We start from the raw sequence: 26,628 nt of genomic DNA, 5'->3' as shown, positions 1-26,628 counted from the left end.
ACTCCAGTAGCTGGGCCTCTGAGGCATCTCTCCATCTCGCTATGTGGCCTTTCCACGTAGTCTCTGCAGCCCAGTAGCTTCAGGGTAGCTGGAATTCTCACACATGGGTTCCCAAAGCACATGTTATGAGAGCATGCCAGGTAGAAGTTGTATCACCTTTTCTAGCCTGGCTTCAGAAGTTGTGAAGTGTCATTTCCACTACATTCTCTTAATTAGAAGCCTGTCATTAGAGTCGGCTCATATTCGAAGGGAGGGGCATTAGACTTTACCTTTTGTAGGAAGTGTCAAAGAATTTGCAGACATGCTTTAAAACTACAGTGGTTCCCCCTTATCTGTGGTTTCGCTTTACAAGTTTTCAGTTACTTGCTGTCTACTGCAGTCTGAAACTATTAAATGGAAAATTCCAGAAATAAACAATTCATAAGTTTTAAATTGTGTGCCATTCTGCGGAGCATGATGAAATCTCGCCCCATCTTGCTCCAACCCGACCAAAACATGAATCATCCCTTTGTCTAGCATATCCATGCTGTGTACACTACATGTGAGTCACTCAGTAACCCATTAGATTGACTGTGGCAGTATTGCAGTACTTGCGTTCAAGTAACCTTTATTTTACTTAATAATGGCCCCAAAGCACAAGAGTAGTGATCCTCACATATTGTTATAATTATTCTATTTGATTACTAATTATTGTTGTCAATCTTTTACTGTACCTTATTTATAAATTAAACTTTTTCATAGGTATGTATGTACAGGAAAAAACATAGTCTGTATAGGGTTTGGTGCTATCCATGGTTTCAGGCATCCATTAGGGGTCTTGGAATGTATCTGCCACAGATTAGGAAAGACTACATACCACAAAACCCCACCATTATTTGTCACACTTTAGGAATGCTAAAACACTTATTGATACCTAAATTTGGGGTCCTGGTTTTACTTATACACTACTCTTTTCTCACGGTATCTTTCACCCCATAAATCTATCTATCTCCCAAATTTCTACTTGCCATTTAAGATTCAGCTCAGATGCTACCATGCAACCTGTATCATAACCTTCCACGGCTCCACCTTTGGAAGTAATTATGCCCTTCTCTGTACTCCCCACAGACCTCAGTTTCAATTTCCCCTGGGTGACCTGAATACATATTTGTTGAATGGATAAATAGAATAGGATAATAAAATCTTAGGTGTGAAAGTGACATTAAGTGCTACTGAGAACATCCTTTTTGAGTTTATTTATTTCTATTCATGTCTGTTCCTCCTTTAGATTTTTAGTGTCTGGAAGGCAGGGACCAAATTTCACTCACCTCTGTAACCACCCCCCAGCCCAACCTTTAGTTCTTCCAGCAGTGATTTGGCCTAGTAGGTCTTCAAAGAAAGTCAGTTAAAGGAAGAAACCTACCTCCCAACACACACACCCCCTGCAATGCACATTTGACTAATTTGCTATTTCTTTACTAATCAGGTAATATTTGGTTTGAGGCAGGTTGGAACAGTTCGAAGAAATGATCTCCAAATGCTCTAAGAGCATAAAATGCTCTTAAACCACAAGAAGCCACAGGTCAGAATTAATAGTCTTTGTTATGGCTACCTTCCCACCAACAGCCACTTTTCTGGAGAAGATTGATGCTATTGTTTTAAACAGACCTGTGAAGGGTCACAGGTTGTAGCCTCATTCTCAGCCACCCTTCCTAGCCCCTTACCTGTCTTATTTTCTCTTCTGCAAAAGCAGAAATTTCTGGGCCACAGCAAGCAGATGAATCAAGATCATTTTGTGTATAGTCGATATCAGCACTTAAAAAAGCAACCCACTGTTGAGCAATTTATGATTTTTTTTTTTTTTGAGATGGCATCTCCCTTTGCTGCCCAGGCTGGAGTGTAGTGGCACGATCTTGGCTCCCTACAATCTTTGCCTCCCGGGTTCAAGCGATTCTCCTGCCTCAGTCTCCCGAGTAGCCGGAATTACAGATGCCCGCCACCATTCCCGGCTAATTTTTGTATTTTTAGTAGAGACAGGATTTCACCATGTTGGCTGGGCTGGTCTCGAACTCCTGGGCTCAAGTGATCCACCCACCTCAGCCTCCCAGTGTTGAGATCACAGGCATGAGCCATTGTGCCCAGCCCAATGTATGATTTATAAACAAACGACGTCCCAGTAATTATCAGGGATTCTTGGCAAGAATACCTAGTTGCACATAGGAAACTTAGTTCCTTAGGTGGCTCATAAAACACGATTCAAACAATAATGTCTTTGAAATACCAAATAGTTAAGCTGGGCGTGATGGCTCATGCCTGTAATCCCAGCACTTTGGGAGGCTGAGGTGGGTGGATCATGAGGTGAGGAGTTCGAGACCAGCCTGCCCAACATAGTGAAACCCCATCTCTACTAAAAATACAAAAATTATCCAGGCATGGTGGTGCGTGCCTGTAATCCCAGCTACTCGGGAGGCTGAGGCAAAAGAATCATTTGAACCTGGGAGGCGGAGGTTGCAGTGAGCTGAGATCGTGCCACTGCCTTCCAGCCTGGGCGACAGAATGAGACTCCGTCTCAAAAAAAAAAGAAATACCCAGTAGTTGCAATGAAAAAAAAAATGATACAATGCCAGTAATTAAACAAACCTGAAAAACAGTGAATATAGTTTTTCTAAAGAACTTCTTCAGCATGTTGATGTTTGGGGGGAAAAGCAAACTGAAGGAAAGAAAAATAAGAACATAGTTGGAGAATTTGGAAGTATATTTACTAAAGACTGACCCCATCCATGATTTGGATAATTAATTTACCTGGTTCATTTTTACATCTAACTCAGATTTTCAACTCATGTTTTACTCCTGGTCTCAGTCCACACAACCTTGTGAGTAGAAAATGAGGTCATACTTCCTTTTTGTATTCAAATTATGATGGCATGAGTGCATACCAGCTGTATTGCTGGAAATCAGTCTTCTTTAAACCATCCCGCAGTTAGTTCTGAGCACTCATGCATGTCTCTGAGTTTACAAACACTGCATGCCATTAACCTTGTTTGTCCTCTCTTACTCGGATTATCGCGTGTGCAGGTTTGCTGTGCATAGAGATGCTTAGACACCTTTGCCACTATGAGCCATAGGACAGCCAAGACTCATGGCAGACAATCTCTGGATACTTCCATAGCTTCCAAACTTGTGCTGGGCTCAATGCAGAAGTGGGAGGCAAGTCCTCTCCCTGACCCTGTACACACTCCTGTTTGCTTATGCTTGGAGCATCGTGATGTCTTCCTTAATCAGTTCTAACATAGTTTAGCCTCCTGGAGACAGCTCTGTTAGTGCCTAGCCCAAGAACTTTGGCAGTTATCAGATTATTAATCAGACATGGCTTTGTGAAAAATTATATATATGTGTGTGTATATATATATAGTGTGTATATAATATATAAATATATATTATATATAAAATATATACTATAAAAATATATATAATAAAATAAAATATATATAAATATATTATATATTATATATAAACATATATATACACACACACACATATTTAAATCAGGGGACTGAAAAGATTAGATGGAAGCAAGGCTTTCCCAAAAATATGAGAATTAGAGGAGTAGAGAAAAGGAAGAAGAGGCTTTAAAAGGGTGTGTGTCTGTGTGTGAATGTTCTTGCTAGGCCATGGAGTGAGGTAGAGTCAGTCAGATTGTCATTAATTCATTCAGAAAATATTTATTGAGCACCTACTAGGTGCCAAGCAGTGCTTAAATCTGGAGAACCCAAGAGTGATCAACACAGGAAAAGTCCTTGTCCTCAGGGAGCTCACATTTTAGTAGGGTAGGCAGGCAGCACAGAAACCAAGAAATTGATCCACGTGATAATTTCATGTATGACAAATACTATGACAACAGAGAGGGGCTTGGGGGCCTATTTTTTTAGGTAGCTTGGTCAGGTAAGGCTGCAACGCTGAAGTTACATTTGAGCAGAAATCTAAACAAAGCGAGGGCGTTAGCCTGCAGATGTCTGGGGAAAGAATGTTCTAGGTAGCAGGAATGGCAGGTGCAAAGGCTGGAATAGAAGAAACTGGCATCCTAAAGGAACCAGCAGGGGCAAGTGTCGCTGAAGCATGGCGAGTAAGGAAGAAGTTTGGCAGGAGAAGCTGGAGCTAACCCAGGGCCAGATCATGCGGTATCTGTAAGTGACAGGAAATGATTGGAGGGAAATGACAGGACGTGATAACTCTTTTAAAAGAATCACCCTGGCTGCTGTAAGGAGACCAGTTGGAAAGATGTGGCAGCGATTCAGGCTGGAGATGAGGGTGGTTGAGCTGGGGTTGTGCAGGTGGCCTTGTCCCTGTGGACAGAGCGTGCCCTTGAACAGCAGTTGCATGTTGATCCTTTTGAATCACATCCTGGGGGTACACTTTGAGGTGCAGCTTTCTGACTCTCATGCTTGACAATGAGAATGAGATTAGCTGGAGTGGAAACAATTGACGGGTATGTGACAAAGAACATAGTGTCATTAGAGGCTCTCAGGAAAACCCTCAAATGGAAACTAAGACTGTGGCATCTCCTTGTAATTATTTTTCCTTGCCAAGGGAACAGATGGGATGACTGGATGACAAAGACTGCTCTTAAGGAACGCATGCCAAGGTGGCTCTCTCAGTTTACTTTCAGCTTCAAGGAACAGAAATCCAATCTAAACTGGCTTCCACAGTGAGGAAATCACCTCACATAACTGGAAGTGCAGGATTCAACCGGGAAGTTCAACTGGGATTCTGCTCGCTTGAATATTTTTATGTGCATCTCTTTATAGACAGAGCCCCCTAACCTGCTTGACATTTTCTTTTTTTCCTAACACTTGTCTTCTAGCATATGATGCAGTGTATTTACTTATTCTGTTTATTAGTGCTGTATTGTTTATTCTCACTAGAATTAAGCTCCATGAGTGCAGGGATCATTGTTTTGTTCACTAATGGATCCCAAGTGTCTAGAAAAGTGCCTGACACTTAATAAATGTTTGTTGAATGAAAGAGTAAAAGGGTGAAACATCTTCCCTTGGATTCCAAATGAGGAAAAAGGAGGGTCACCATGATCCTACAATTTCTCCCGTGGGGAATTCGATAAAAGGAAACTCTCCATTTATTGGAACAATTTCCTTATGGCCCCCAAAGGAACAAGACTATAAGCTGCAAACCAAACCCCTTTGTCATTTGTTCCCCAACCACTAATTGAGGAATACCAGGTTCAGGATGGTTCAAATGACCTTCAGGTTTGCCCAAGTGGTGGATGTTAGTTGGCAATGTATTTGATCAAGATTAAAGAGTGTGTGGTTCCTGGTTGGGCACGGTGGCTCACACCTGTAATCCCAGCACTTTGGGAGACCGAGGTGGGCAGATCACCTGAGGTCGGGCGTTCAAGACCAGCCTGACCAATATGGAAAAACCCCGTCTCTACTAAAAATACAAAATTAGCCGGCGTAGTGGCGCATGCCTGTAATCCTAGCTACTCTGGAGGCTGAGGCAGGAGAATCGCTTGAACCCAGGAGGCAGAGGTTGTGGTGAGCCAAGATCACGCCATTGCACTCCAGCCTGGGCAACAACAAGAGTGAAATTCCGTCTAAAAAAAAAAAAAAAAACAAAAATAGAGTGTGTGGTTCCTTTGACTGGTCTCAGCCCCTGAACTTTATGCCTTGACAACAGCATTCCTAACTCTGGCGGGCCCTACACACATGGAAAAAAGAAGCATGCAGTGCCACTCCCTTGAGACTGTGGATGTAGTTAGTTCTTTTTCTTTCAATATCTGCCTATTAACCTTACTTTACTATGTTCTGGGCACTGTGGAAGACGCTGGAGAGAGGATAATGACCAAGAGACGGTTCTGGTCCTCAAGCTTAGTGATGGGGTTCAGGGAGGCAGCCAGTTTAGCACAGGAGACAAACATATAAACAGATAATTATAATCAAACGTTATGGGTTTGGCATTAGAGGTATAGTGGGAAGAGTGATCAACTCCATGTGAGGGAAAAGGCAAAACTGCAGGGAGTGGGGGGGGGGCGTCTGTTAAGTAGGGTTCTAAAAGCTGAATAGGAGTTTGCCTGGCAAACATGGAATGGGAGTGGGCAGAGTGATACTCCAGGGAGAGAAAATAGCAGGTGGCAGTGTTACAGCTCTTTTACAATTTGTGTGGCAGGTTTCCCGGTTTTTACCAGAAAAATCTAAAGAAAAGAAAACAACAGGTACAAATATATGGATGTGGGAAGCAGCACTGTGTGTTTAACGAACTACAATTGGTTATGTATTGCTAGGGTACAAAGTGCTAGGAGGAGAAAATTGAGGCTGGAGAGGTGGGCAAGGGTCAAAGTATTCCTGCTTTGTATACTCTGCTTAGAGGTCTATGTTTGTTTTAGGTGACGCGTTTTCATCATGAGAGTGAGAAGATCAGATTTGTATTTAGAAAGATCACTCTGGCTGCCAGGGACAAGATGGATTTGAGAAGGGCAAGCTAGAGACCAGGAGATTCTAGAGAGAAAAATACTAAACCTAGGTAATATCTCACATTGACCACCAGGTGGAGCAAGTAGGCCAGGACAGCTCGGTTGCAGGCTGCTGGGGTAAGGAGGAAGGATAGGGTAGGAGAAAGCGCCAGCATGGGACTGATTCATAAGTTGGGTGTTCATAACTCTGGGAAGATCTGTAGTGAAGCACAAACAAGAGGCTACCTAAATGTCCACAAATAGAGGACCCACTAAATATCACAAAGCATTCACACACTGAATTCCCAGGCTCCAGCGAGGTAGATCTGTACGTATACACATGAAAACAAGCCCAGGTGAAAAAAGCAAGTTATAAAATACTGTGTACACTATGACCCTGTTGCGTAAATGTCTAGAAAGATGATCATAACATTAATATCAGTGGTAACTTTTGGAGAGCATTTTGGAGCTATTGAGTGTGTGTGTGTGTGTGTGTGTGTGTGTGTATTTGTCTTGGTCTGTTTGGGCTACTAGAATAAAATACCAGAGAATTAGTGACTTATAAATGCTAGAAGCTTATTTGTCACAGTTCTGGAGGCTGAGAAGTCCAAGATTTGGCAACCGGTGAGGGCAACTTCCTGGTTCATAGAGGGCACCTGCTTGTCGTGTCCTCACATAGCAGAAGGGCTGATGAGTCTCTTTTATAAGGGCACTAATCCCACTCATGAGGACTCCATCCTCTTGACCTAATTATTTCCCAAAGGTCCCAACTCCAAATATCACCTAGGGGGTTAGGAATTCAACATATGCATTTTCGGAGAACATAAGCGTTTAGTCCTTTGCAGTGTGTGTGTGTGTGTGTGTGTGTGTGTGTGTGTGTGTTGAATTTTGTCAAAATATAGTTGACATACAGTATGCTGGATATATTTAAAGTGCGCAGTTTAATACATTTTGACAAATGTATACACCTGTGAAGCCATTGCCACAATCACAATAATGAATATATCCATCACCCCCAAAGGTGTCTTTACTGCCCTTGAAAACCCTCCCTATCATCCTTTTCTGTCCTCCATCCCCAGGCAATGGCTGGTCTGCTTTCTGTCACTAACAGTTTGCATTTTCTAGAGTTGTATATAAATAGGATCATTCAGTATGTACTATTTTTGGCCTTGTGTCTTTCATTCAGCAATATTAATTTGAGGTTCATCCACATCGTTAAGGGTATAAATAATTAATTCATTTTAGTTGCTAAATAGCATTACATTGTATGGCTGTATCACAATTTGCTTATCCATTTATCTGCTGATAGACATTTGGATTGTTGAGGGTTTGGGGCTATTATGAATAATGCTTCTCTGAACATTTGTGTTCCAGTCTTTGTATTTGCACATGTTTTCATTTATCTTGTGTAAATATGTACCTAGGAGTGGAATGGCTAGGTCATATGGCAGGTATACGTTTAATTTTGTAAGAAACTGCCAAACTGTTTTCCAAAGCAGTTTTACCATTTTACATCCCAGCAGCTGTATGTGAGTATTCCAGTTTTCCTATATACTTGCCAATATCTGGCATGGTCAGACTTTTAAATTTTAGGTCTTCCAATGGGAAATTTTTATTTCTTTAATGACTGATGATGATGTACATTTTTTCATATGCTTATTTGCCATCCATAGATCTTCTTTGGTTAAGTGTCTATGCAAATTTTTGTTGGCCATTGACATTTACATTTTACTTTATACTTCCATAAAGTTATACCATTTTTACAATGACCATATGTCTCTTTTATATTTAAAAACATCAATTTAAAATATCTCAACCCAGAAGACATCAATAACTATGATTTGAACTTTAAACTTACTAGCAGTATATTATGCTAAGGTGAAGGCAAATCTTGATTATATCATTAAAAGATAAAACATTTGATTTTAACATCTGGTTTCAAATTATTAGAAATAACCTCAAAACCAATGCAATTTTTATTTCCATAGATTATTACGTTTGAGAGATATCATGAGTTTAGACTCAAATGAACCTGGCTTCAAATTCCAGCTCTTTTACTTATCAGCTGTGCAATCTTCGGCAAATTCATTTTTGAAATCATCAAGAAGCAAGGCCAAAAATAGTACACATTGAATGGTTCTATTTATATATAATTCTAGAAAATGCAAGAGCTTCTTCCATTTTCTTCTTTTAGAAATCTGACATATCATTTACTGCATAGGTTCATTTTGAGGTTTAAATTGATATTATATTTAACCAGTCAGCGCAACAACTAGCATGTAGTATGTACTCTACAAATATTAGAGCTTCTATGACAAGACAGTTTGATTGTCTTGGCAACCAAATTGCTGCATGCTCAAAATTCAAGCTAGTCGGTGAAATACAGCACAGTCACAGTATTTTGTAAAGGAACTGTTGAAACCGTTGTCAAGGCAGGCAACATCCTTTGTGATAACAGAGATCTCTCCCTTACCCCATTTATTTTTAAAGACTCTGAAAGAAAAGCTCTGGTTTGCGTTTGGTTTTGAGGAAACAAACAAACAAACAAACAAAAACAGGTACAGGAAACTTAGGTTGAAATGGACTTTTTGAGCATCTAGCACATATTGGCTTTCTTTGTAGAACCCTCAGTATCTTCTGTTGCTCAAGCCACCAAATGATCTTGCAGATGCTCATGGTACCCTGCAGGATGGTTCAGAGGTAGTACAGAGCTACTGTTTTACATGTTTCAAATTGGAGTTATTGTCAAGTTAGTGTTATTTGGGATAGTGTCATTCATAAATGCTGTATATTACATAATGCAGTGGAAGAATCATGGCAGTAACAGGGGCAGGAGGCAGAGAAATTCTAGGGGGACAGGGGTGGGTCCCCAGTGAAACCTCACCTTCAAGCCAAAAAAACAGCCTGAAACCCATGGCCCAGAGTGAGAACTTCTATTCCTGTTTGTCTGCTCTTTCCCAATTGGTTCTTTCTGAATAATGCCTTTTAACCAATCAAATGTTGCCTTTTCCAGTACTACCTATGGCCTGTCTCACCCCCATCCTGTGCCTATAAAAACCCCAGATTCAGCCACAATGACAGAGACAACCTGACTTTGGGGAAGAGACGACTTGACTTCGGGGAAGATAAGCTGATCTTCTCATCCCCTCTCCAGCTCTCTCTCTGCTGAGAGCTGTTTTTGTTGCTCAATAAAATTCTCCGCTGTCATTACCCTTCAATTGTCAGCGTGACCTCGTTTTTCTTGGATGCTAGACAAGAGCTCAGGACCCACCAAGTGCAGGTACCCAGAAAGGCGGTCACAGTGGCCCTTTGCCCTCACTGGCGGAGGGCAGCCACCCCATGAGATGGGGCCAGGGGCCGACTGAGCTGCTAACATGCCACCATCTGTCAGGCTGTGGATGGCATAATTAAAAGAGCTAATTATCCCACTAACACCCACTCTGGGGCTTTGGGGTTGCAGGCATCCCAGCCTGGGCACCACCACATTTCCCTTGGGGTGACATGCCTGGTCTGGGCACAGGCCCCGCACAGAGCTTGCTCCTGTGTTGGTGCTCAGAGTGGCTGGCTGAACCCCACACTCACTCACTCATGTGCTTCCTCCTGCAAGGGGCTGAGCGTGGTGGGCTGAGTAGACGGGGTGCCCCTTGCTTCTAGTCCAGCAAAGGAGCCGAGAAGAATCCTTCATCAGCAGCTACACCCAAAATGAAGCTTTTGAAAGGGAGACATGAGGAACACCAGCTGAACACATGGCTAAAGAAAGGGAATCAAGACAGCTGCATGTCAGGCCCTTGAATTTCTAAGGGGTCCCAATCTACAGGCTGTCCCATCCCCTCGAGCCCCATGGTTATTTGCCCCTGTCTCTATTATAGCATCAATGACCTGGCATGAGGGTTGCTTGTTCCATAAGCTGCGAGTTCCTAAGGAACTTAAGGTTTAAGTTCTTAAGGATTGTTGCTTGCGTGTTTTTCACTTTTCTATATGACTAGCATCTGGCACAAAGCAAATGCTCAATAAAGTTTATATATTTAAATATAACAGAAAAGGATAAAAAATGTTTGCTATCCACAAACAGCTGCCTTGTAAGAAGAGTATGTTCTGCATCAATAAAAAGTCTTTTTATTCAACGGGGCACCTGGGAGCATTAGGAGCTGAGTCTAGAGGTTGGGGCTTGCATGAGTGGAGAGAATTTGGAGTTCAAGTATAGCAGACCATGGGGAGGGAGGGTCAGTGGGGATCCAGTGAGACACTACATAGAGCAAAGCGGCCATAATACATCTTCAGGGCCTGGTGGCCAAAGAGTTTTATTTTGTTTCATTTCGTTTTTACAAGGATGTGTCAAAGTTCATGTTGAAGTTCTTTGAATTTCAGCAGAGTAAACCTCTCCTTGGGGCTCCAATAACTTCAGTAAATTCTGCACATTTGAATTACTTTGTAAGTGTGGGCTTTCCATAGAAACCAAAGAAGGGGTTGAGTTTTCATCTGGGTCAGAGACAGAAAGGTGAGACTTTTCATGAATGAAGTAGCTTGGTAGAGTGTTAGGAGTTGGAGGCAGAAGAGGCTATAACAAAATAAACTTAAGAAAGCAAACTCCTGGGGTATTTGGGGGAAATCTTGGGTAAGGCATTTAAACATCCCCCTAGGACATGAATTTGTAAGTTTCTACCTCATTTTATGTATGATGTAGTGAGACTGCAGCTGACATCTAGTATACAGCAGGAAGGAAAGTGGGTAAAAAAATGTAGAAAGAATACAGTGAGGGGAAGATGTCCTTCCCACTGTTGATGAAAAGAGCCAGACATCGTAAAATATTTGAAGAGGTTTATTCTGATCCAAATATGAGGCCCATGGCCCATGACACAGCCTCAGGAGATCCTGAGAATATGTGCCAAAGATGATTGGGTTACAGCTTGGTTTTATACATTTTTAGAGAGACAGAAGTTACAGGCAAAGCCATAAATCAATATATGTAAGGTATACATTGGTTGAGCCTGGAAAGGCAGGACATCTTGAAGATCTTGAAAGTGGGGTGACTTCCAGATCATAGATAGATTAAAGATTTTCTGATTGGCAATTGGTTGAAAGAATTAAACTATGCCTGAAGAGTTGAAGTTGGCATAAAGAAATGCTTGCGTTAAGATAAGGGGAGTGGTGGAAGCCAAATTCTTGTCATGTAGATGAAACCTCTAAGTAACAGGTTTCAGAAATAACAGATGATAAATGTCTCTTATTAGACCTTACAAGGTGTCAGATTCTCAAGTAAAGAACTAGTAAGGGAAGGAGATTCTCTGCAGAATGCAAATTTCTCCTACTGGAGATTGCTTCTCAGGGCCATTCCAAAATATGACAAGGAATATATTGTGGGGTAAAATACTTTAATTTCCTTCAGGGCCTGCTATCTGTCATGTGATGCTATCTATACCAGAGTCAGGTTGGAGCTGGGTATCTTGTTCCTACAAAGAGTTTGTTGAGTTTGTTGGGTATCTTGTTCCTACCAAGAGATCAGTCTTATGATCTCTGTTTTAATGTTAATGCTGGTCGGTTGGGCCTAAACTCCAAAGAGAGGAGGGTACAGCAGGCATGTCTGACTCCACCTTCTTGTCATGGCCTCAACTAGTTTTTCAGGTTTCTTTGGGATCCCCCTCGCCAACAGAGGTTCCATTCAGTCAGTTGGGAAACCCTCAGGCTTTCTGGTTATTTGATAGCCTAAATCCTATATAAAAGAAAAGAGAGCCAACAACATAGGACAATGTAATAATGAATGAAGGGAACAAACAGTAGCACAAAAGTTTAGGGAGGGGAGCAGAAGTTCTCACCTAAGAACTAGCCTTGAAGGATGGATCTACTGCTTAAGTTTATTTTTTCTTTAAGATGTAATTCTTTATATGTAAAGTCATATGTAAATTGCTTATCTATTTTTTTTCTCTTGTTGGGAGGGATGGGTGGATAGTAGGCTTTGGTTCTGAAGTCAGACAGATCAGCTGTTAAATCCTGGCTCCTCTACCTATCAGCTGTGTGATTTTAGCCAAGTTACTTAAGCTCACTGAGCCTCATTTGTAAACTGGAGATAATAAAAGTACCCAACTCATAGGGTTGTTATGAGAGTAACTTTTTTTTTTTTTTTAGAGAGGGCTTCTCACTCTATTGCCCAGGCTGATGTGCAGTAGCCATTCACTGGTGAGATCATCACGCGCTACAGCATCAAACTCCTGGCCTCAAGTGATCCCCCTGCCTCAGCCTCCGAAGTAGCTGGGATTACAGGTATGTGCCATTGTGCCCAGCTTGCTGGGAGAGTTAAACAAAATAATCTATGAAAAGTGCCTAGCATAGGACCTGGCACATAGTACATGCTCGGTAAAATAGTATCCATTTTTATGTAAGTTTATTGAACACCACTTGCAAAACATGGAGAAAAGCAGAACTGAAAACCATCAATAGTTCTACCACCCAAAGAAGAAAACCACAGTTAACATTTTTGAGTATGTTTTTCCAGTTTTCAGTCAATGCCTAGTTTGCCTTTCTTTCCTTTTTGTGTTGCCTGTCATTCTGAATACAAAATTTAAATCCTAATTTTTATTTAGATAGCATAAGAATTTTTCCATCCTATTATAACCTTTACAAAACATTTTTCATGACTGCAATGCATTACATTGAGTTAATATATTGTAATTTACTGAATCATTCTCCTATTGTTAGACCTTTGTGTGGATTCCAGTTTTTTTTTCCTTGTCTAAAAAGCTCAGTAATAAGCCAGTCTGTGCATAAATGTTTTCCTTTATTTTGTATTATTTCTTTAGAAATGATTTCCAGAAATGAAGAAGTATGGGCAATTTTAATGTTCCTAGTGTTGCCAAAATAATTCCGAAGGCACGTGGAGAAGGAGCTTTTATCTCCAATTGCTTCTCTGAGCCCCTTCTTTCTTTCCTCGTTTCCAAGTGAAGGAAGAGGAAGAGGAGGAATATGATTGACCAGAGGCCCAGGCGCTTGTTGGGTTACCTTTACCGTGGGCGGGGTCACTGGGCAGAAAGAAGTCTGGAGACGGATACAGTGTCTCCTTTCTCTGCCAATCTGTTGAGTGCATTCCCAGATGAAAACTGACCCAGAACATGGACCCTTAAAGGAAGCCTGGGCCTTTCCTTGGCTCTCTTTTCTCCCATGCAGCAAGCGGGTCTGACTCCTGCCCGGGTAGATCCTTGCTAAGCTCAGAGGCAAATGCATTTTCTGCTGAGGTCTCTTTCTCTGTGGCTTCGTCGCATACAGCTCTGATAGATGTGCACCGTGTCATCTTTCTCTGCAAAATGGCCCACCCAAGATTCAGGTTGGGGAGAAGTTGAACCTTTACGTGTCTAGCCTTGGCTGTGCAGAACAGTTTCACACACCAGAATTCTGCTTTGGGGTTTGGGGCCTAAAGCCCAGCTAACAATAAGACTCTTTCTGGGTGTCACCTCCCTTCGGGACTGCCTGGGGGAAGTTTCTTCATTTGTGGAAGCTAGTGATAATGAAAGTCTCAGGTGGGATTTAGGTGTTCTCAGGATCTCTGGCTGCATTGTCCAAAATACTCTGGATTGTCGGTGACAGAACTGCAGCCCAGTTACCTCAAGGAAAGTTGGTAAATGTTTAACAACTGGCTTGCCAGGAAAAAAAAAAAAGAAAAAAAAAAAGGCCTGATTTGTAGTGCTTAGTGTTTGCAGAGTTCCATGGGCTGGAAACTCCCATCGGTAGACTGAGAGTAAATACTTCCGCCAGGGCTGATTTCAAGCTCCCAACCATTTAACAACCAGTTTACAAAATTCCTGAACATTTAACAATAGGCTGTTGCAAGCCAGAGAATCCCACTCTAGCACACTAAATGAAAAATGTAAAAAAGAGCAAAATGATTCACTCACTTCTGCAACATGTGGGAAGAGCAGGGACACAGAACGTGACCTCAGGAAGGAAGAGAACCAGGGAAACGAAGGCCAATAGGGTTCTCTCTGCAAACCAACCTAGTTTTTCCCAACTACAGATCCACTCTCTCTGTGTTTCAAGAGACGTCATGCCAGCAGCTGCCAGAGTTACAGCCTCACCAATTCCCAACCAGAGAAGAAGGAGGGCTTCGGTGCTGGTTTGAAAAATCCCAGTGCCAGGTTGGCCAGTCTTTAATTGTGTACTCTCCCCTGGGGTCAGAGGGTAGGTGCACTGCCTGAGGATCATGGGGTCTGTCAGGAGGTGGGGAGGGAGGGTTGCTGGCCAGGAAAAAAAAACCACTAATCCCATTACAGTGACCATCTCAATGCCATCAGAACCTCGTTCCCATTTCTGCTAGTCTCCAGAGTGGCCGAATCAAGGATAGCATGAAGAAGCTGTTTCACCCGTGTTTTGGCATTATATTTTATAGTTTTCTTTTCTTTTTTTTTTTGGGATAGTCTCACTCTGTCACCCAGGCTGGAGTGCCGCGGTGAGATCATAGCTCACTATAGCCTTGAACTCCTGGGCTCAAACCGTTCTCCCACCCAGGCCTCCCAAAGTGCTGGGATTACAGGAGTTTTCTTTATTGTGTTTGATCTCAGCTAATTTCACAGGCAAAAATAATAATCTATTGATATTTTAAGTACTTCTCTCTTTCCTTTTCTTTTCTTTCCTTTTCCTTTCCTTCCTTCCTTCCTTCCTTCCTTCCTTCCTTCCTTTCTTTTTTTGATGGAGTCTCACTCTGTTGCCCAGGGTAGCGTGCAGTAGCGTGATCTCTGCTCACTGCAATGTCTGCATCCCAGGTTCAAGTGATTCTCCTGCCTTAGACTCCTGAGTAGTTGGTACTACAGGCGCGCGCCAACATGCCTGGCTAATTTTTGTATTTTTTTGCATAGAGATGGGATTTCACCATGTTGGCTAGGCTGGTCTTGAATTCCTGGCCTCAAGTGATGCGCCCACCTCAGCCTCCCAAAGTGCTGGGATTACAGGCATGAGGGAGCCATCATGTCCGGCCTATTTCCACTTCTTACGTCACAAGTGAGGTTAGCAATATGTTCCTAAATGTGAAGTAATTGTATTTCCTCTTTTGTGAATGTTTGGATCTTTTGTTCATTTACCTTATGGATAAGTTATTTTTAAATCTCTTTATTCAACAAATATTTACTCATTTGTTGTTATAGGCCAAGCATTTATAGATGCAGAAAATATAATAGTAAACAAGGCAGACAGCATTCCCATCTTTAGAGTACTTACCCTCTATTGGTATGGCCTGTTTAGAAAACAATACACTAAGTCTTGCTTGTCATACTCACAATGAATATTTTTCCTATAAGCTGTTTTTATTCTTCCATACAGTTGTTTTACATTTTTATGTGGTTGAATCTGGCCTACTTTCCCCTTTTACACAAGCTTTTTCTTCCATGCTTAGAAATTTCATTTCCTCAGCAAAATTTTAAGATATGATTCATTTTCATTATTTCTGATTTTCCTAGTCATGAAACTTTGTATGCAATTATTTAATTTATTTATAATTTATCATAGTGTGTGGGGTGAGCTGAGCGTCTACACTGGTTATTTTTTCCAAACATTGAACACTTACTGAACTGTACCTTTTTTCATTGATTTGAATAGATGACAATAGGCAGAACATTGATCAGTGGAGAGGTGAGATGAAGGTTGTTGAAGGGCAATTGGAGTTGCTCAGTTTAGGTAATTTGGTAAGGGAAATGGCAAGGAAATTTGTACATACAAGGCATTAATGCAGGCAGAGTTTGTCTGGAATAAAAGGTCCATATATTGTAGTGATTCTTAACCAAGGATGGACAAACCTGTTGACTAGGGAGCTCTAAAGACATACTCACGCCTGGGCTGTACCATTAGGAGGTTTAATGTACAGCTGGAACTCATTTATTTATCTTTTTGAAGCAGGGTCTCACTCTGACACTCAGGCTGGAGTACAGTGGCATGATTACTGTTCACTGCAGCTTCAACTTCCCAGGCTCAGGTGATTCTCCTACCTCAGCCTCCCTAGTAGCTGTGACTACAGGTGTGTGACCCACCACGCCCAGCTAATTTTTTTGTATTGCTTGTAGAGATAGGGTTTTGCCATGTTGTTCAGGCTGGTCTCGAATTCCTGGGCTCAAGTGATCCTCCTGCCTCAGACTCCCAAAGTGCTGGGATTACAGGTGTGAGCCACCACTGCTGGCCAACTCATCCGTTATTTATTTTATTATTATTATTTTTATTTTATTTATTTATTTTTAGACAGAGTCTCGCTCTGTCGCCCAGGCTGGAGCACAACTAATGTGGGAAATTGTGGCAGATAAAGCTGGTCTGGTAAGTAGGGAGCAGATTGAGAGAGATGGCAATGCCAAGCTGAATCTAGTTGTGGGTTCAGGAAGCCTCTGAGGGCACAGCTGAAAGAGCATGGACTTTGGACTCAAGCAGATAGAGGTTTTGATACTATTTTTACTGATTTCAGGCTATGTTTTCCAGTTTGCAGGTCCTCTCTCAGAGTCTTGCTTTTTTTTTCTTTCTTTTTTTCACCTCGAACAAAATTAATAATATCTACTTAATAGGCTGTGATGAGTCAATGGGAAGTCAAGTATAAAATACCTGGCTCAGCACCTTATGCGTAAATGAATTCTGCCTTCTTCCTCTTGAATGAGCCTTTGGCCTATGCCAGGCCTGCCTCATGGTTGCCTTTGGGATGAACTAATGTAAGACATTTCCGGAGAAAACATGCAAATACATGTCAAGATGATAAATGGAAAGAGATCCAAGTTGTCCTTTAATCCCAGAGGTTTCCAAAACCTTCAAAGAGGTTGTACTTTTTAGGAGAGGAACTCTTCTTCCTTAGAGAAATGGAGAGAAGCTTTGAATTTCCCAAAGGCCTTGCCTTCATAGCTTGACAAAGGCAAAACTTGGCTCCACTACAAGCCACCTCAGCTCAGTTGCAGAGATAATCCTTGCCCCTGGGCAGCTTAGCCTGGGAACCAAGGTCAGCTGTTATGAAAATAACACAGCCATAGTCATTTTTATAAAAGAAAATTCCTCATTCAAATCTGTTTACAGAGCAAAGAATCTCCTTTCTTGAAGATGGAAAATACCATTCCTTCTCAGAAGATCCACCCTCCTTAACTTTGTATCATTGATATTCATTCAGTGATTTGACAAATATTTATTGATATCACTTCTGTTTGACAACTACTTTGGAACTGGCCTCTCTCTACAGTAATAATTTTAAACCAATTTTCCACGCCTCCTTGTATTATAAATTGACACCAAATATTTATTTTGGGATTGGGTACTAATCAGCATTCCTTGGAGGTCACCCAACCAAGAGGTAATGTGACTGGAAGAAAGGGAGAAAGGTTTAAAATCAGACACACATAGTCTCAAACCTTGACTCTCGATGGGGACAAGCCATGTGACTTTAGGCTAATCGTGAAGACACTCTGACCCAGCTTTATTTTTCTCTAAAATGAGAATAATGTCTTTCTCACTCTAAAGCCAGTTTTCTCTTCTTCAGAGTGGCATTCAGTTGGGTGGAGAGGAGGAAAGAGCTCATTCATCCCAGAAGATGGGAACTGGTGAGGTACCAGAGGGACAGAAAGAGACCAACCAGCTTGCCCAATAAGCGGGGAGGGAGGTGTGTTTGGGAACAATGAGAAGTTACATTGGAACAGTGGAAGAAGAGCGCTTCTGCTTGATACACAGATCACAAAAGCACCCCTGGGTGATGGTGGGGCTTCAGCTGCAGAGGATGAACACATTGAGACAACTTGCAGCTGAACTGAAAGCCTCCTGAGAATGGAGGGTTCTTTTTTGCTCTGCTTTTACTGGACTCAGAGAAATAGATCAAGAGAGGATGGCTTTGTGTGTGTGTGTGTGTGTGTGTGTGTGTGTGTGTGTGTGTGATGGAATTTTGCTCTTGTGGCCCACGCTGGAGTGGAATGGCATGATCTCAGCTCACTGCAACCTCAGCCTCCTGGGTTCAAGTGATTCTCCAGCCTCAGCCTCCCCAGTAGCTGGGATTACAGGCTCCCACCACCACGCCTGGCTAATTTTTTGTAGTTTTAGTAGAGACGGGGTTTCACCATGTTGGCCAGGCTTGTCTCGAACTCCTGACCTCAGGTCATCCACTCGCCTCAGCCTCCCAAAGTGCTGGGATTACAGGCATGAGCCACCATGCCCTGCCGATGGCACTTTTTTCACTTGAAGAAAGAACGAGGAGACCTAGGCTTATTGAATCAAGAGGGTCTTAAGTTAGATAGTAATACTGACTTCCTCACTGTGAGAAAAGTACAGGATTATGTTACCTCACCAAGGAGTTTCCTTTCTAAGAGACTTGAAATCTCCTAGCTGGCAGAGGCTCAGAAGGAAGTTCCTTAGTGACTCTCAATCTCTTTCATGTACAGCAGGTCTTGAATAACGTCTTTTCATTCAATGTAGTATTGTTATAAAGTTGGTGAGAAAAAAAACAGTGGATTCCCAGCCGGGTCACTGTTTGTATGGAGTTTGCAGGCTCTCTCCATGTCTGCGTGGGTTTTCTCCAGGTACTTTGGTTTCCTCCCGAAGATGTGCAAGTCAGTTTCACTGGCATGTCTCAATGGTCCCAGTAAGAGTGAGTGTGGGCATCGGTGTGGGTGTGAGTGTGCCCTGTGATGGAACAGCATCCTGTCCAGGGTGGTTTCCAGTCTTGTGCCCTGAGCTGCTGGGAGAGGCTTCTGCCACCTACAACCTTGAACTGGAATAATTGGGTAAATAATTATCTTTCTTGTTTTTATTAATCTTTCTTAAATGTATGTGTAGCTCACAGGTATTTTAGTGTTTACTATGAGAAGTGTTTTGGTCTTTAGAAGTTTGGTGACACTTTTTTTTTTTTTTTTTGAGACCGAGTCTTGCTCTGTCACCCAGGCTGGAGTGCAGTGGCATGATCTCGGCTCACTGCAACCTCTGCCTCCCTGGTTCAAGCAATTCTCCTACCTTAGCTTCCCAAGTAGCGGGAACTACAGGCGTGTGCTAACACATCCAGCTAATTTTTGTATTTTCAGTAGAGATGGGGCTTCATGATGTTGGCTGGGCTGGTCTCAAACTCCTGACCTCAGGTAATCTGCCCGCCTTGGCCTCCCAAATTGCTGGGATTACAGGCTCAGATAAGCCACCACGCCTGGCCTGTTTGGTGATACTTTTGTGGCCAGAAATAGGGTGTAGAAACTTAAGTCGTGTTTATATCAATTAGCCTATGGTCAAATTGGTTTTGTTATATGTCATTTTGCTTAAAGTTGCAATTTCCAAGAACCTATGAACAGTGATAAGTGAGGACTTAAGCATACTAGATAAGTCTACTGAGTTATTGCAGTGTCACTGTGGTTGAAAGTTTCCTGGTGAGCTCTGGTTCCCTCGCTGTCAACTACCCCTCTTTTTGGCAGAATCCCTTCAGAGGTGAATCTGCATTTTAAACAGCAAGCTCCTCATTCTGGCTGCTGGGTCCTGCGTGATACTCCAAAGCCATGGAGATGCTGGGCCTGGTGCACTTGCCCTTCCCTCAAGGGATCCTGCTGGTCATGGACCTATACAATGAAGGGATCCAGGGGACTGATTGGAAGTCAGAATCCAAACACTAGACTCTCTATCATTTTGAAGGTAGAGGAATTAAACCAAAGAAATATACTACTGCATTTATATACAATTCTGGTATCACTTTAAGACCTGATGATTTTTTAGAGCAAAAAGTCCAATGTAAAGAAATAGTTTCCAATGCGGCTAAACCTCAAAGGATAACCAAGTGTTAATGGTTAGGGACACCAGCCTACACAGGGCAATGAGATTCAGTTTACTAAGCAGCTTCTGGGCTCTTACTAGGTGGCAGGTCTTGTGCTGGGTACTGGGTGATGGTGGTGGTGATGGGAGAGATACAGAGATAATAGTGATAATGACATTGATAATAACATCACATGTCCTGAGAGCTGATTACTTGCCGGGCATTGTGCTAATTTATTTGTTAATTTAATAAATAAACAGGGCAACATAAATACTTGCTGAATGAATTGTTTACTTGCACAAGCTCTCCTGGCCTCCTTTCTGTTTCTTGGATGCACCTCAGGGCCTTTGCATTTGCTCTTTTGTTCTGCCTGGAAAGCTCTTCTTCCATGTATTTGGTTGGCTGGCTCCTCACTCCTTCAGGTCTTTCCTCCAATGTCACCTTCTCAGTGAAGTCCTGACCACTTAATCTAAAATTATAACCCCTATCCCGATTCCAAACCCTTTCTGTTCCTATTTCTCCATTTCACTTTTTCCTCTTAGCACTTAGTACTACTGTATCTAGGATGCTGCCTTTAACTTTTTTTTTTTTTTTTTTGAGATGGATGGAATCTCACTCTGTTGCCTAGGCTGGAGTGCAGTGCCATGATCTCCAGAGTGCAGTGGCACAATCTTGGCTCACTGTAACCTCTGCCTCCTGGGTTCAAGCGATTCTCCTACCTCAGCCTCCCTAGTAGAGTAGCTGGGACTGCAGGTGCATGCTACCACACCTGGCTAATTTTAGTATTTTTAGTAGAGATAGGGTTTTCACCATGTTGCCCAGGCTGGCCTCGAACTCCTGCCCTCAGGTGATCCACCCCCGTCAGCTTCCCAAAGTGCTGGGATTACAGGCGTGAGCCACCACGCCCGGCCATGCTGACTTTTACTAATGTACTATTGTCTGTCTCTCTTGCTAGCCTGAGAGCTCCACGATGGTAGGGACTTTGGACTGCGTTGTTCACTTCTGTAGCCCCTTGGCCTAGGTCTGATGCTCAAATTTGCTCCATGAATTGAATAAAAGATATTATTTCTTAGTGTTAGTTATGTGCTCCACCCAACAATTAGCAGCAGGATAGTGTAGTGAACGAGGCAGACAAGGTTGTTCCCTCCAGAGTCCTATGGCTTGTTGAGGATAAGATACTGAACTAATTACACAATAATCTCCATTCTCCTGAAATAGAACATGCTGGGTGCTTTACTGATATCATGTCGCTGAAACCTTACCACAACCCTAGGATGTGGGTACTATAATCCCTAGTTTACAGATGCTATCTTTGTTTTTCTACAGTTGAAAATACCCAGATAGCCTCTGACTTACAGAGAGAATGGACTTTTTTGTTGGCACATATTGATGATAAGTGTATATATGTAACTTACCATTATAATGGCCTTTTTTGTATTTAATGCTTCCCATAAATACTGTTAATTATTCATCCTACTTTATAAATGAGAGAAGTTAGATAACTTACCAGAGCCACACACCTACTAACTCTTCTAGATGGCATCAGACCCAATCCATATCCTTAAAATTCTTCTCCATTGTAAGGAATCCAAATGATGGGGGCACTAGTTGGACAGGGAGGGGTAGTCAGGGACTATATTCTTCTAGAGAAAGAGACCATTGGGACTCACAGGTGGTAGCACTAGGGAGAAGAGCTTGAACAAAGGACAAAGGCTTGCAGGTGGCTGTAGGGCAGGGAGTGGTGGGTTGAGTAGAATCCTGGGTGGGTGATGAGGCATAGTTTCCACATCTCCAACCCTAACCACCCCCACACTCCTGGCCATTATGGTTTGATTCTAATAAGGAGATATGGCAGAGCCCTGAGCAAGGCAAGGGCAGGATGAAATAGGGCTTCTACAGCTATTTTTTCATCCTACTTATTTAGAAATCCATCGTGTCCATGCACCTCTTCTATTTTCTTGGTTAAATTAGCAACATGTGTTTATGCGTATTATCTGAACCTATCATAGAACATTGCATTTATATATAATACCCACTTCTACTAACCACTTTCAAAGCTTTGAGACTTCCCCAACATTGTGTCCACCTAAAGAGTGGGTACCCTGGGCTGGGTGTGGTGGCTCACGCCTGTAATCCCAGCACTTTGGGAGGCCAAGGCGGGCGAATCATGAGGTCAGGAGTTTGAGACCAGCCTGGCCAACATGGTGAAACCCCATCTCTATTAGAAATACAAAAATTAGTCAGATGTAGTGGCGCATGCCTGTAATCCCAGCTACTCAGGAGGCTGAGGCAGGAGAATTGCTTGAACCCGGGAAGTGGAGGTTGAAGTGAGCTGAGATCGCCCCACTGCACTCCAGCCTGGGTGACAGAGAGAGACGCCATCTCAAAAAACAAACAAACAACAACAAACAAACAAAAAAAGAACCCTGACAATGCAGGATGCTGAGAATCAGAACTCTAGCATTCTCATAATTTTTTTATTTTTAATTTTTGTGGGTGCATAGTAGGCATATATATTTATGGGATATATGAGATATTTTGATACAGGCATAAAATATGTCATAATCACATCAGGGTAAATGGGGTATCCATCACCTCAAGCACTTATCCTTTGTGTTACAAGCAATCCAATCACACTCTTTTAGTTATTTTACAATGTATAATTAAATTTTTATTGACCATAGTTACCCTATTGTGCTATCAAATACTAGGTTTTATTCATTCTTTTGAACTATTTTTTGGTACCCATTTGATGTAGTGTGGATATTTGTTCCTGCTCAAATCTCATGTTGAAATGTAATCCACAATGTTGGAGGCGGGATCTTGCGTGAGGTGTTTTGGGTCATGGGGTGCAGATCCCTCATGTCTTGGTGCTGTCCTTGCAGTAGCAAGTGAGTACTCATAAGGTCTGGTTGTTTACATGTGTGGCATCTCCCCACGACTGTCTCTTGCTCCTGCTCCTGCTTTGTGAGACGCCTGCTCCTCCTTCAGCTTCTGCCATGGTCGTAAGCTTCCTGAGGCCTCCCTAGAAGCAGATGCCAGCACTATGCTTCCTGTGTGGCCTGCAGAACCATAAGCCAATTAAACCTCTTTTCCTATAAATTACCCAGTCTCAGGTATTTCTTCATAGCAATGTAAGAACGGACTAACATACCATTAACCATCTCCACTTCCCCCTTACTCACCCACCCACAATTCCACTACCCTTCCCAGCCTCTAGTAACCATGTATCTCCACGAGTTCAATAGTTTTAATTTTTAGCTCCCACAAGTAAGTGAGAAAATGCAAAGTTTGCCTTTCTCTGCCTGGCTTATTTTACTTAACATAATGACCTCTGGTTCTATCCATGTTGTTGCAAATGACAAGATCACATTCCTTTTTATGTCTAAATAGTACTCCATTGTGTATAACTAACACATTTTCTTTGTCCATTCATCTCTTGATGGGCTTTAAGTTGCTTCCAAATCTTAGCTACTGTGAACAGTGCTGCAACACACATGGGAGTGCAGATATCTCTTTGACATACTGATTGCCTTTCTTTTGGGTGTATACCCAGTAGTAGGATTGCTGGATCATATGGTATCTCTATTTTTAGTTTTTTGAGGAACCTCCAAACTGTCCTCCATAGGGTTGTACTAATTTCCATTTCCGTCAATGGTGTATAAGGCTTCCCTTTTCCCCACATCCTTGCCAGCCTTTGCTATTGCCTGTCTCTTGGATGGAAGCCATTTTAACCAGGGTGAGATGCTATCTCATTATAGTTTTGATTGGCATTTCTCTAATGATCAATGATGTTGAGCATCTTTTCATATACCTGTTTGCCATTTGTATGTCTCCTTTTGCAAAATGTCTATTCAGATCTTTTGCCCATTTTAAAATCAGATTATTCGATTTTTTCCTAAAGAGTTGTTCGAGCTCCTCATATATTCTGGTTATTAATCTCTTGTCAGATTGATAGTTTAGAAATATTTTCCCCAATTCTAGGGTTGTCTCCTCACTTTAGTGATTGTTTCCTTTGCTGTGCAGAAGCTTTTAAACTTGATGTGATCCCATTTGTTCATTTTTGCTTTGATTGCCTATGCTTGTGGGGTATTACTCAAGAAATGTTTTCCCAGTCCATTGTCCTGGAGAGTTTCCTCAATGTTTTATTATAGTAGTTTCATAGTTTGAGGTCTTAGATTTAAGTCTTTAATCCCTTTTGATTTGATTTTTATATATGGTGAGAGAGAGGGATCTAGTTTCATTCTTCTGCATATGGATATTCAGTTTTCCCAGCACCATTTATTGAAGAGGCTGTCCTTTCCCCATTGTGTGTTCTTGGCACCTTTGTCAAAAATTTGTTCACTGTAGATGTATGGATTTGTTTCTGGGTTCTGTATTCTGTTTCATTGGTCTATGTGTCTGTTTTTATGCAAGTACCACACTATTTTGTTAACTATAGTTCTGTAGTGTAATTTGAAGTCAGGTAATGTGATTCCTCCACTTTTGTTCTTTTTGCTCAGGATAGCTTTGGCTATTCTGGGTCTTTTGTGGTTCCATATAAATTTCAGGATTTTGTTTTCTATTTCTGTGAATAATGTCATTAGTAGTTTGACAGGGATTGCACTGAATCTGTAAATTGCTTTGGCTGGTATGGAGATTTTATCAATATTTATTCTTCCAATCCAGGAACATGGAATATCTATCCATTTTGTGTGTATGTCCTCCTCAATTTCTTTCACCAATATTTTATAGTTTTCACAGTAGAAATCTTGGTTAATTACTAGGTATTTAGTTTTATTCATAGCTATTGTAAATGGGATTGCTTTCTCAATTTCTTTTTCAGATTGCTCGCTGTTGGCATGTAGAAATGCTATTTATTTTTATATGTTGATTTTATTTTATGCTTTTGTTTGTTTTGTTTTGTTTGTTTGTTTGTTTTGAGACAGAGTCTCGCTCTGTTGCCCAGGCTGGAGTGCAGTGGACAGTCTTGGCTCACTGCAACCTCTGCCTCACAGGTTCAAGCAATTCTTCCTGCCTCAGCCTCCCCAGTAGCTGGGATTACAGGCACCCTCCACCGTGCCTGGCTAATTTTTGCATTTTTTAGTAGAGAGGTGGTTTCACCATGTTGGCCAGGCTGGTCTTGAACTCCTGACCTCAGGTGATCGGCCCACCTTGGCCTCCCAAAGTGCTGGGATTACAGGCATGAGCCACTGTGCCATAATATTGATTTTGTATCCTGCAACTTTACTGAATTCGTTTATCAGTTCTAACATTTTTTGGTGGAGTCTTTACGTTTTTTCAAATATAAGATCATATCATCTGCAAATAAAGATAATTTTGAATTTTTCCCTTCCAGTTTAGATGCCCTTTATTTCTTTATCTTGTCTGATTGCTCTAGCTAGGACTTCCAGTACTATGTTGAATAACAGCGGTAAAAGTAAGCATCCTTGTTTCGTTCCAGATCTTAGAGGAAAGGCTTTCAGTTTTTCCCTGTTCAGTATGATACTAGCTGTGGGCCTATGGCGTGTAACTTTTATTATGTTGAGGTATGTTCCCTCTATACCCAATTTTTTGAGGGTTTTTTTTTATCATGAAGGGATGTTGAATTTTATCAAATGATTTTTTGGCATCAATTGAAAGAGTCATATAGTTATTATCCTTCATTCTGTTGATTTGATGTATCACATTGATTGATTTTTGTATGCTGAACCATCCTTGCATCCCTATGATAAATCCCACTTGGTCATGATGAATGATCTTTTTAATGTGTTGTCGAATTTGATTTGCTAGTATTTTGTTGAGGATTTTTACATTAATGTTCATCAGAGATATTAACCTGTAGTTTTAGTTTTTTTTTTTTTTAATATGTCTTTGGTTTTGGACTGAGGGTAATACTGGCCTTGTAAAATGAGTTCAGAAGTATTTTTTCCATCTCTCTTTTTGGAATAATTTGAGTAGGATTGGTATTAGTTCTTTAAGTGTTTGGTAAAATTCAGCAGTGAAGCCATTAGGTCTCAGGCTTTTCTTTGGAGACTTTTTATTATGGCTTTGATCCTGTTACTTGTTATTGGTCTGTTCAGGTTTTGGATTTCTTCATGGTTCAATTTTGGTAGGTTGAACATGTCTGAGAATTTATTCATTTCTTCTAGGTTTTCCAATTTATTGGCATATAGTTGCTCACAGTTGCTTCTAATAATTATTTGAATTTCTGCAGCATTGGTTGTAAGGTCTCATTTTTCATCTGTGATTTTATTTATTTGGGTTTTCTCTCTTTTTATCTTACTCTGGCTAAAGATTTGCTAATTCTGTTCATCTTTTCAAAAAAACCAACTTTTCATTTTGTTCATCTTTTGTATTGCTTTCTTCGTTTCAATTTCATTTATTTCTGCTCTTACCAGTATTATTTTTTTTCCTCCACTAACTTTAGGTTTAGTCTTCTTGCTGCTCTAGTTCTTTAAGATGCATTGTTAGGTTGTTTATTTGAAGGTTGTCT

At 41.5% G+C, this 26,628-nt stretch overlaps 1 pseudogene, besides 1 other annotated feature; it reads left to right on the top strand.

The window, feature by feature from the left end:
* Nucleotides 390-684: an enhancer, noted in NCBI's record as "tiled region #12855; HepG2 Activating non-DNase unmatched - State 5:Enh, and K562 Activating DNase matched - State 8:EnhW". NCBI's record gives its function as "activates a minimal TATA promoter and a strong SV40 promoter by Sharpr-MPRA in HepG2 and K562 cells {active_cell/tissue: HepG2 | K562}" and the evidence as "EXISTENCE:reporter gene assay evidence [ECO:0000049][PMID:27701403]".
* RNU7-94P (RNA, U7 small nuclear 94 pseudogene) lies at nucleotides 6,126-6,188 on the top strand (annotated as a pseudogene).

Source organism: Homo sapiens, chromosome 12 (assembly GCF_000001405.40).
Source record: "Homo sapiens chromosome 12, GRCh38.p14 Primary Assembly".
Classification (NCBI taxonomy): domain Eukaryota; kingdom Metazoa; phylum Chordata; class Mammalia; order Primates; family Hominidae; genus Homo; species Homo sapiens.
The sequence above is the reverse complement of the archived record's forward strand: the minus strand, read 5'-3'. Positions and strand labels throughout refer to the sequence as shown.